The sequence below is a fragment of the Homo sapiens genome, chromosome 9 (genome assembly GCF_000001405.40).
Source record: "Homo sapiens chromosome 9, GRCh38.p14 Primary Assembly".
NCBI classification, from domain to species: Eukaryota; Metazoa; Chordata; class Mammalia; order Primates; family Hominidae; genus Homo; species Homo sapiens.
In genome coordinates this window covers 94,117,373-94,129,925 of record NC_000009.12, presented here as the reverse complement: position 1 = coordinate 94,129,925, position 12,553 = coordinate 94,117,373, and the positions used below count along the sequence as shown (strand labels likewise).

The window sequence follows — 12,553 nt, the reverse complement described above, 5'->3', positions numbered from 1 at the left end:
AGGAAGAGAGAGAAGAGGGAGGTACTACACATTTTTAAACAACCAGATCTTGTGAGAACTCACTCACTGTAGAGTACTGAGGCTGGGATGGTGCTAAACCATTCATGAGAACTCTGCCCCTCATGATCCAATACCTCCTGCTAGGCCCCACTTCCAACACTGGGGATTACAATTCAAGATGAGATTTTGGTGAGGACAACATCCAAACTATATCATTTCACCCCTGGCCCCTCCAAATCTCATGTCCTACTCACATTGGAAAATACAATCATGCCTTCCCAACAGTCCCCCAGAGTCTAAACTTATTCCAGCATTAACTCAAAAGTCAAAGTCCAAAATCTCATCTGAGACAAGGCTAGTCCCTTCTACCTATAAGCCTGTAAAATAAAGACCAGGTGAGTTACTTCCAAGATACAGTGGGGGTACAGGCATTGGGTAAATACTCATGTTCCAAAATGAGAAATTGGCCAAAAGAAAGGGTCTCCAGGCCATGTGCAAGTCTGAAACGCAGAAGGGCAATCATTAATCTTAAAGCTCCAAAATAATCTCTTTTGACTCTGTGTCTCAACTCCAGGGCACACTGGTATAAGGGTAGACTCCCAATGCCTTGGGAAGCTCCACCTGTGTGGCTTTGTGGGCGTCAGCCCCCATGGCTACTCTCACAGGCTGGTGTTGAGTGCTTGCAGCTTTTCCAGGCATATAGTGCAAGCTGTCAGTGGCTCTACCATTCTGGGTTTGGAGGATGGTGGCCCTCTTCTCACAGCTCCACTAGGCAGTGCCCCAGTAAGGACTCTGTGTGGGGGCCCCAACTCCACATTTCTCCTCTGCACTTCCCTAGTAGAGGTTCTCCATGAGTGCTATGCCCCTGCAGCTGGCTTCTGCCTGACCATCCAGGCTTTTCCATACATCCTCTGAAATCTAGGTGGAGACTCCCAAGACTCAACTCTTGCACTTTGTGAACCCACATGCTTAACACCAAGTAGAAGCCACCAAGGCTTATGGTTTGCATCCTCTGAAGCAGTAGCCAGAGCTGTACCTGGGCTCCTTTGAGCCATGGTTGGAGTTGGAGTGGCTGGGATGCAGGGAGCAGTGTCCTGAGGCTGTGCAGGACATTGGGACCCTGGGCCTGGCCCACAAAACCATTCAGTCCTCCTAGGCCTCCCAGCCTGTGATGGGTGGGGCTGCCACAAAGTTCTCTGAAGTGCCTTTAAGGGCTCTTCCCCATTGTCTCTGTTATTAGCATTTGGCTTCTTTACTTTTGCAAATTTCTGTAGCCTGCTTGAATTCCTCCCCTGAAAATGAGCTTTTCTTTTCTACCAGATGGCCAGGCTGCAAATTTTCCAAAATTTTTTGCTTTGCTTCCCTTTTAAATATGAGTTTCAGTTTCAGGTCATTTTTTGCTCACACATATGAACATAGGTTCTTAGAAGCATCCAGGTACCATCTTGAATGCTTTGCTGCTTAGAAATTTCTTCCAAGGCTGGGCGTTGTGGCTCATGCCTATAATCCCAGCACTTTGGGGGGCCAAGGCAGGTGGATCACTTGAGGTCAATTCGAGACCAGCCTGGCCAACATGGCAAAACCCCGTCTCTACTAAAAATACAAAAATTAGCTGGGTATGGTGGTGCATGCCTGTAATCACAGCTACTCGGGAGGCTGAGGCATGAGAATCGCTTGAACCTGGGAGGCAGAGGCTGCAGTGAGCTGAGATCCACTCCAGCCTGGGTGACAGAATGAGACTCTGTCTCAAAAAAAAAAAAAGTTCTTCCACCAGATAACCTAAATCATCACTCTCAAGTTTAAAGTTCCACAGATCCCTAGAGCAGGAGCACAGTACAGCCAAGTTCTTTGCTAAAGCATAGCAAAAGTGACCTTTACTCCAGTTCCCAATAACTTCCTTATTCCTGTATGAGACCTCCTCTGCCTGGACTTCATTTTCCATATCACTATCAGCATTGTGGTTGCAACAATTTCACAAGTCTCTAGGATGTTACAAATTTTCCCTCATCTTCCTTTCTTCTTCTGGGCCCTCCACATTCTTCCAACCTCTGCCTGTTACACAATTCCTAAGCTGCTTCCATGTTTTCAGGTACCTTTATAGCAATGCCACACTTTTCAATACCAATTTTCTGTATCAGCCTGTTCTTGCATTGCTATAACGAAATACATGAGACTGGGTAATTTATGAGAAAAGAGGTTTAATTGGTTTACAGTTCCACAGGCTATATAGAAAGCATGGCAGCATCTGCTTCTGGACAGGCCTCAGGGAGCTTTTATTCATGGTGGAAGGCAAAGCTAGAGCAGGTATCTTCACATGGCCAGAGCAGGAGGAACAGAGAGAGGGAGACAGTGCTATATACTTATAAACAACCAGATCTCGTGAGCACTCACTCACTATATGGTACCAAGGGGGGATGGTGCTAAACCATTCATGAGAACTCTGCCCACCATGATCCAATCACCTCCCATCAGGCTCCACCTCCAACACTAGGGGTTACATTTCTACATGAGATTTGGGCAGGGAGAACATTCAAACTATATTAACACTTGAGTATCTGAAATCATTGTCCTCTGGCCTAGTGTTGCTTTTGAAAAGTCTGATGTCAGTCTGGTATCATTTCCCTTATAAATGACTTGGTCTTTTTCTCTCTGATTGTCCAAAGGTTTTTTTTTTTTTTTCTTCTCCCCTTTAAAATCCAACAATTTTACTAGAACATTTCTCATTGCTGGCCAGCTGGGTTGATTTTCCCATGTAAATGGAGTAACTTTTCCGTATACAGTTTTAAGTCTTCTTTTATTGAACAACACTTTTTGTTGCATTATAGCTTTTTAACATTTATTTTTTTCATTATTTTTCTTGTTAGGTACTCCTATTATACTTATGTTGAATCTTGTTTGCATGTCTTCTATATCTATCACTTTTTCTCAAACCTTTTAAATCTTTCCTTATTAAAAAAATGTTTTTTTTTTCTTCTCCCCTCTTGGTTTTCTTGTAGACTTATTTCTCTTGAAGACTTATTTGCCCATTTAGTTTAATCTTCCACTTCTGAAAGTTTCTCTTTTCATTTCTAATTCTTTAATTCATCATCTTTTTTTTCAGATCTTCCTTTTATCAAATCATCTCATCTGAGTTTTCAAATTCTAAATTTTGCTGTTCTATCTATAATCTCTTAATTTTTAGATGAATAAAAAGTCTGGCATGAGGAAGTAACTGCTTGAGCTAAAGCCAACCCAATTTTCTTAATTTTTAGAGCTCATTTTGAAGTGTTGGGTAATGGTAATAGTTTTTATTTTGTGAGCACATACTCTGGCACACTTTCATTATGTATAGGGATGTCATTCTGCACATTAATTCATCAATTTTTTACTCTTTTAATAATTTTATATGGTATTAAACTGTGGTCCTCTACTATTGCTCATATGATTTGAATTGGGACAGAACTGCTTTCCTAACTTCATGGCTTAAGGGCTTCTTTCTCTGTGGTTTTTGAAATAATGAAAAAGATGAACTCCAACTTGCTGTTCCTCTTCCTACTTTTAAATAGTTTTTCTAATTCCTTTGCCCCAAATTTCTCCCTCTTCTTCAAATTGAGTTCTATTTCCAGCAGAACTCAACTATCTCCTTAGTTGGAGGCTTTCCTGGAAAGGAGCTTTGGCTTATTGGTTTTGAGCATTTATAGAGCTCATACACTGTCAGGAATAATTGAGGGACCCAAGACCCTTTCAAGGTGTCTGAAAAATTAAAACTGTTTTCATTCTAATACTAAGATGTTATGTGCATTTTTCACTCATGAGTGTACAGTGGGAATTTCCAGAGATTATATGATTTGTAATACTATAACATAGATTATTGTATCAGAAGCAGCTATGAGAATCTAGCTGTCTTCTATTAAGTCAGATCTTAAAGAAGCCTGCCTTGGCCTCCCAAAGTGCTGGGATTACAGGCGTGAGCCACCGTGCCCAGCTTAATTTTCTATTCTTAGGAGAGATGGGGCTTTGCCATGTTGGTCAGGCTGGTCTCAAACTCCTGACCTCAGGTGATCCACCTGCCTTGGCCTCTCAAAGTGCTGAGATTACAGGTGTGAGCCACAGCACCTGGACTGAAGATTATTGTTTAAATGTCAAAACTACCCAATGTGATCTACAGATTCACTGAAATCTGTCTCAAAAACCCAGTGTTTTTTTTGTAGAAATAAAAAAGCTCACTCTAAAATTCATATGGAATCTCAAAGGACCTTTAATAGCCAAAACAACATTGAAAAAGAACAGAGCTGGATAACTCACATTTCCTGATTTCAAAATTTACTACAAAGCTATTTTAATCCAAACAGTATGGCACTGGCAAAAAGACAGACATATAAACCAATGAGATAAAATAGAGAGCCCAGAAATAGCTCTTGCATATATGGTCAAATTACTTTTTTTTTTTTTTTTTGAGTTGGAGTCTTGCTCTGTTGCCCAGGCTCGAGTGCAGTGGCCCGATTTTGGCTCACTGCAACCTCTGCCTCCCAGGTTCAAGTGATTCTTGTGCCTCAGTCTCCCAAGTAGCTGGAAATACAGGTGCATGCCACCATATCCAGCTAATTTTTGTATTTTTAGTAGAGATGGGGTTTGGGGTTTGGTTATGTTGGCCAGGCTGGTCTTGAACTCCTGGCCTCAACTGATCCGCCTGCCTCAGCCTCCCAAAGTGCTGGGATTACAGGGGAATGAGCCGCTGTGCCTGGTCACCTTTTCTTTTTCTTTCTTTCTTCTTTTTTTTTTGAGAGGGTCTCCTTAGGTTGTCCAGGCTGGTTTTGAACTCCTGGGCTCCAGCAATCTTCCTGCCTCAGCTTCCCTAGAAGCTGGAATTACATGCACATACCACCACATCTAGTCTCAAATAGCTTTTGATAAGGGTGCCAAGACCTTACAGTCCTTTTCAACAACAAGTAGTGCTGGGAAAACTGGATATCCACATGCAGAATAATGTGGTTGGACCCTTACCTAATGTCATGTAAAAAAATGAACTCCAAATGGATGAAAGACCTAAATGTAAAACCTAAAGCAATAAAACTATTAGGGAAAAAAATGGCAAAATTTCACAACATTGGATTTGGCAGTGATTTCTTGGAAATGGCAACAAAAGAGAAATAGAAAATTAGACTTCATGAAAATTAAAAAATTTTGTGCATCAAAAGACACAGTCAACAGAGTAAAAAAGCAACCCATAGGATGGGAGAAAATATTTGCAAATCATATCTTTAATAAGGATTTAATATCCAGAATATGTAGAGAACTAAAACTCAACAACAAAATACAAACCAACTGAAAAATGAGCAAAGGACTTGAATAGACATTTCTCCAAAGAAGATACATGAAAAGGCAATAGGCACATGAAAAGATGCTCAATATCACTAGTCATTAGGGGAATGCAAATCAAAACTACAATGAGAAACCACTTCATATCCATGAGGAAGGCTATTATCAAAAATACCCAGAAAATAACAAGTGTTGGCAAGGATGTGGAGAAACTGAAACCCTAGTGCACTGTTGGTGGGAATATACAATGGTACAACCACTGTGGAAAACAGTGTAGTGGTTCCTCAAAAATTTAAACACAGGATTACCACATGATCCAGCAATTCCACTTATGGCTGTGTACCCAAAGGAATTAAAAGTAGAGTCTTGAAGAGATATTTGTATGCTGCTGTTCACAGCAGCATAATTCACAATAGCTCAAACATAAGCAACCCAAGTGTCTATTGAAAGATGAATGGATAAGCAAAATGTGGTATATACATACAATGGAATGTTATTCCACTTTAAAGGGGAAGGAAACTGCATTATACTACAACGGGGATGGATCCTGAAGACATTTTGCTAAGTGAAATAAACCAGTCACAAAAGACAAATACTGTATTATTCCACTTATATAAAGTATTTAGAGTAGTTAAAATGAGAGACACAAAAAGAATGGTGTCACCAGGGGCTGGCATGTTGGAGGATGGGGGAGTTCTTGTTTAATAGGTACAGCATTTCAGTTTTACAAAATGATGAGTTAAATAGATGGATAGTGGTAATGGCTGTACAACATTTATGAATGTATTTAATAACACTGGACTATATACTCAAACATGAATAAAATGATAAATTTTATTATATATATTTTACTACAGTAAAAAAATTGAAAAATACATGAACAAGCACTAGAGAAAAGAAACAAAAATGGCTCAAAACATATAACAAGGTAACATATTTGAGGTACTATCTCATACCAACTGAGTCTGGCAAAAATCAAAAAGTCAGTCAATACTAAGTGTTGACAAGGATGCAGAGCAGTGGGAACTCTCATTTACTGCTGTTGGGAATGTGAACTGGTACAATCATTTTGAGAAATAATTTGTCATTACCTAGGAAACTGAAATTGTATATACCCTAAAGTTCACAAATTTTACCCTTAGCTACATAGCCTACAGAAACTCTTGCACATGTATACCCAGAGACATGTGAAAATATGAACAACCCAAATGTCCATCACAAGTAAAAGAGGTAATTTGTGGAATATCCACACAATGGAATGCCATACAGCAGTGAATACAAATAAGCTACAGCTCACACATCAATATGGATAAATGTGAATAGAACGTTGAAAAGAAAAGGCAAGTCACAGGAGAATACACACAGCATTGTTCAATTTATGTAAAGTTTATAAACAGGCAAAATCAAGAAATATGTTGTTTAAGATAGAATTATAAAGAAATACACACAAGTTATAGTGGAAGAATTAAGGAACAGCAGGGAATTTTGTCTTCTGTATTAGTTTACTACGGGCTCCATAACAAAGTACCACAGACTAGGTGGCTTGAACAAGAGAACTGGAAGCTAGAAGTCTGAGATCAATGTGTCACCAGGGTTGGTTCCTTCTGAGGCCTCACTCCTTGGCTTGTAGATGACAATTTTCTCTCTATGTCTCCACATAGTCTTACCTTTGTCCATGTTTGTGTCTCAATCTCCTCTCCTCTTTTTTTTTTTTTTTACTTTTTTTTTTTGAGATAGGGTCTCCCTCTGTCACCCAGGCTGGAGTGCAGTGGCACAATCTCTGCTTACTGCAACCTCCACCTCCCGGGCTCAAGTGATCTTCCCACTTCAGCCTCCCAAGTAGCTAGGACCACAGGCATGAGCCACCATGTCCGGCAATTTTTTTTTTTTTGTAGAGACAGAGTTTCGCCATGTTGCCCAGGCTGGTCTTGAACTCCTGGCCTCCAGTTATCTGCAGGCTTTGGTTTCCCAACATAGTGGGATTACAGGCATGAGCCACTGGGTCTGGCCTCAATCTCCTCGTCTTATAAGAACATCAGTCAGATTAGAATTGGGACCACCTCAATGATTTCATTTCACTTTAATTACCTCTTTAAAGACCCTACCTCCAAAGACAATCACATTTTGAGTTACTGGGGTTAGGACTTCAACAGATGAATTTTATGGGGGATACATTCAGTCCATAACACCTCCCCATCTCTTTGGGCTGTGTGGTAGTTAGGTAGATAAATTTAATTATATTTAACAAAAATTAATTAGCATATATTCTGTTCCCAGGAAAAAGAGCTGAGTTTTGAAGGACATGTTGAGTATTAATCATCCAGCATTGTATATAAGGAATGAAAGTGTGGACTGAAGGAGGTATCTAGATGGTAGGCAATGCCAAACTAATTAGGGTGACAACAGAGGTACAGAAAATGTCATGGACAAGCGCTGCTGTAGGTATGGATGTGCACTATACTTGTGTCTTAGTCTGCCTGTGCTGCTATAACAGAATATCTGAGACTGGGTAGCTTATAAACAACAGAAATTCATTTCTCACAGTTCTGGAGGGTGTGAAGGCCAAGATCCAAGATGCCAGCATTTAATGAAGTTTGCTAGCTGCTTCCAAAATGGTGCCTTGAATGCGGCATCCTCCAGAGGGGAGGAATGCTGTGTCGTTACATGACAGAAGATGGAAGGATGAAAAAGGACCACACTTTCTCTGTCAAGTCCTTTTATAATAGCATTAATCAATGTATGAGGCTACAGAACCCATGAACTAAACACCTCCCGAAAGGCCACACCTCCTTAACACTACAAATTTTGGGGTACATATTCAGATTGTAACATTCCACCTCTGACCCCCCCAAATTTATGTCTTTCTTACATGTAAAATACATTCATTCCATCCCATTGCCCCTAGAGTCTTAATTTGTTCCAGTAACAATTCAAAGCTAAAGTACAGGGTCCCATCTAAATCAGATATGGATGAGACTCAAAGTAAGAGTCATCCTGGGGCAAACTGCTCTCCAGCTGTGAGCCTGTGAAATCAAACAAATTATATACTTCCAAAATACAATGGTGGAACAGCCATAGGACAGACATTCCCATTCCAAAAGGGAGCAATAGAAAAGAAGGAAGGAGTAAGAGCTCCCAGGTAAGTCCAAAACCAACAGGAGAAACATTAAATCTTTTTTTTTTATTTCAATTTTTTTTGAGACAGTGTCTTGCCCTGTCACCCAGGCTGGAGAGCAGTGTGTATGATCATAGCTTGCTGCAACCATGAACTTCTGGGCTCAAGCAATCTTCCTGCCTTAGCCTCTCCTGTAGCTAGGACTACACGTCTGTCCCATTCTGCCGAGCTATTTTTTTTTTTCATTTTTGTAGACATGGGGTCTCACTATGTTGCCCAGGCTGGTTTCAAACTCCTGCCTCAAGCACTCCTCCCTCCTGGGCTTCCCAGTGGATTGGGATTACAGGCACAAGCCACTGTGCCCAGCCCAACATTAAATCTTGAAGCATGAGAATAATCTTTGACTCCATGTCCCACCTTCCAGGTACACTGGGATGGAGGTTAGGTCCCCGTGGCCTCGGGCAGGCCCACCCACATGGCTTTGCTGGGTACAGCCCATGCTTCAGCTCCCATGCACTGAAATAGTCTGCCCGCAGCTTTCCCAGACTGGCACTGTATGCTGGTGCTTATACACTTCTGGGGTTTCTGGAGCAGCCCCACTCCTATGACTCCACTAGGCACTGCCCTAGTGGGGGCTCTCTGCAGAGACTTTGTCCTTGCAGCAGTTCTCTGCCTGGGCCCACTGAGGCATTCTTTGAAATCTAGGTGAAGGAAGCCAGCCTCCACTGCTCTTGTACTCTGCACACCTGCAGAATTAAGCACCACATGGATGTGCCAAGGCTCACTGCTTGCACCCTCCAGAGTAGTGGCCCTACCTGGACCTGGGCCTGCTTGAATCAGAGCTGGGGTAGCCAAGGAGCACTGTGCCAGAGTGCAGGGTGCAGAGACCCAAGGTGGCCCTCAGCAGTGAGCAAACAGGTCCCATGGGCACCCTGGGCCCCTCCTCAAAATTCATCTGTCCCCAAGACCCTAGCACTCTGGCCTTTTGATGGGCATGGTTGCCCCCTCCCCTTGTACCAAGATGTCCATAATATCTTTGGGGTCATTCTCCCATTGTCTTGATAAATAGCACATAGCTTTCTCATATCCATACTAATCTTATCAAATGGTGGCCTGGCCACACCGTGTGCTATCTTCTAAACACACTTTTTCTTTTTTTTTTTGAGGTGAAGTCTCGTTCTGTTGTGCAGGCTGGAGTGCAGTGACGCAATCTCCGTTCACTGCAACTTCCACCTCCTGGGTTCAAGTGATTCTCATGCCTCAGCCTCCCGAGTAGCTGGGATTACAGGTGCTTGCCACAATGTCTGGCTAATTTTTTTTTGTAGTTTTAGTAGAGATGGGGTTTCACCATGTTGGCCAGGTTGGTCTCGAACTCCTGACCTCAAGTGATCTACCCACCTCGGCCTCCCAAAGTGCTGGAAATACAGGTGTGAGCCGCCGTGCCCGGCCCTAAACATCCTTTTTTTTTTTTTTTTTGAGATGGAGGCTCACTCTGTCACTCAGGCTGGAGTGCAGTGGCGCCAACCCAGCTCACTGCAACCTCTGCCTCCCAGGTTCAAGTGATTCTCCTACCTCAGGCTACCAAGTAGCTGGGATTACAGGCGCCTGCTACCACACCCGGCTAACTTTGGTATTTTTAGTAGAGATGGTGTTTCACCATGTTGGCCAGTCTGGTCTCAAACTCCTGACCTCAAGTGATCCACCCGCCTCAGCCTCCCAAAATGCTGGGATTATAGGCATGAGCCATCACAACCGGCCTACATACTTTTTTATTCTTTACATGGCTGGACTGAAAATTGTCCAAATCTTTTTCATTCTTTACATGGCTGGACCAAGAAATGTCCAAATCTTTATGTTCTGCTTCCCTTTGAATTATAAATTGTCTTTAAATCATTTCTCTTCTCCCATTTTAACATGTTAACATAAGCAGTTAAGAGAAACCACACAGGGGAGGAGCCAAGATGGCCGAATAGGAACAGCTCCGGTCTACAGCTCCCAGCGTGAGCGACGCAGAAGACGGGTGATTTCTGCATTTCCATCTGAGGTACCGGGTTCATCTCACTAGGGAGTGCCAGACAGTGTGCGCAGGCCAGTGTGTGTGCGCACCGTGCGCGAGCCGAAGCAGGGCGAGGCATTGCCTCACCTGGGAAGCGCAAGGGGTCAGGGAGTTCCCTTTCCGAGTCAAAGAAAGGGGTGACGGACGCACCTGGAAAATCGGGTCACTCCCACCCGAATATTGCGCTTTTCAGACCGGCTTAAGAAACGGCGCACCACGAGACTATATCCCACACCTGGCTCAGAGGGTCCTACGCCCACGGAATCGCGCTGATTGCTAGCACAGCAGTCTGAGATCAAACTGCAAGGCGGCAACGAGGCTGGGGGAGGGGCGCCCGCCATTGCCCAGGCTTGCTTAGGTAAACAAAGCAGCCGGGAAGCTCGAACTGGGTGGAGCCCACCACAGCTCAAGGAGGCCTGCCTGCCTCTGTAGGCTCCACCTCTGGGGGCAGGGCACAGACAAACAAAAAGACAGCAGTAACCTCTGCAGACTTAAGTGTCCCTGTCTGACAGCTTTGAAGAGAGCAGTGGTTCTCCCAGCACGCAGCTGGAGATCTGAGAACGGGCAGACTGACTCCTCAAGTGGGTCCCTGACCCCTGACCCCCGAGCAGCCTAACTGGGAGGCACCCCCCAGCAGGGGCACACTGACACCTCACACAGCAGGGTATTCCAACAGACCTGCAGCTGAGGGTCCTGTCTGTTAGAAGGAAAACTAACAACCAGAAAGGACATCTACACCGAAAACCCATCTGTACATCACCATCATCAAAGACCAAAAGTAGATAAAACCACAAAGATGGGGAAAAAACAGAACAGAAAAACTGGAAACTCTAAAACGCAGAGCGCCTCTCCTCCTCCAAAGGAACGCAGTTCCTCACCAGCAACAGAACAAAGCTGGATGGAGAATGATTTTGACGAGCTGAGAGAAGAAGGCTTCAGACGATCAAATTACTCTGAGCTACGGGAGGACATTCAAACCAAAGGCAAAGAAGTTGAAAACTTTGAAAAAAATTTAGAAGAATGTATAACTAGAATAACCAATACAGAGAAGTGCTTAAAGGAGCTGATGGAGCTGAAAACCAAGGCTCGAGAACTACGTGAAGAATGCAGAAGCCTCAGGAGCCGATGCGATCAACTGGAAGAAAGGGTATCAGCAATGGAAGATGAAATGAATGAAATGAAGCGAGAAGGGAAGTTTAGAGAAAAAAGAATAAAAAGAAATGAGCAAAGCCTCCAAGAAATATGGGACTATGTGAAAAGACCAAATCTACGTCTGATTGGTGTACCTGAAAGTGATGTGGAGAATGGAACCAAGTTGGAAAACACTCTGCAGGATATTATCCAGGAGAACTTCCCCAATCTAGCAAGGCAGGCCAACGTTCAGATTCAGGAAATACAGAGAACGCCACAAAGATACTCCTCGAGAAGAGCAACTCCAAGACACATAATTGTCAGATTCACCAAAGTTGAAATGAAGGAAAAAATGTTAAGGGCAGCCAGAGAGAAAGGTCGGGTTACCCTCAAAGGAAAGCCCATCAGACTAACAGCGGATCTCTCGGCAGAAACCCTACAAGCCAGAAGAGAGTGGGGGCCAATATTCAACATTCTTAAAGAAAAGAATTTTCAACCCAGAATTTCATATCCAGCCAAACTAAGCTTCATAAGTGAAGGAGAAATAAAATACTTTATAGACAAGCAAATGCTGAGAGATTTTGTCACCACCAGGCCTGCCCTAAAAGAGCTCCTGAAGGAAGTGCTAAACATGGAAAGGAACAACCGGTACCAGCCGCTGCAAAATCATGCCAAAATGTAAAGACCATCGAGACTAGGAAGAAACTGCATCAACTAATGAGCAAAATCACCAGCTAACATCATAATGACAGGATCAAATTCACACATAACAATATTAACTTTAAATATAAATGGACTAAATTCTGCAATTAAAAGACACAGACTGGCAAGTTAGATAAAGAGTCAAGACCCATCAGTGTGCTGTATTCAGGAAACCCATCTCACGTGCAGAGACACACATAGGCTCAAAATAAAAGGATGGAGGAAGATCTACCAAGCCAATGGAAAACAAA

At 43.0% G+C, this 12,553-nt stretch overlaps 1 annotated feature.

The window, feature by feature from the left end:
• Positions 10,556–11,252: an enhancer, noted in NCBI's record as "OCT4-NANOG-H3K27ac-H3K4me1 hESC enhancer chr9:96880956-96881652 (GRCh37/hg19 assembly coordinates)". NCBI's record gives its function as "activates a minimal SCP1, AML or CMV promoter by ChIP-STARR-seq in naive H9 embryonic stem cells {active_cell/tissue: H9 hESC(naive)}" and the evidence as "EXISTENCE:reporter gene assay evidence [ECO:0000049][PMID:30033119]".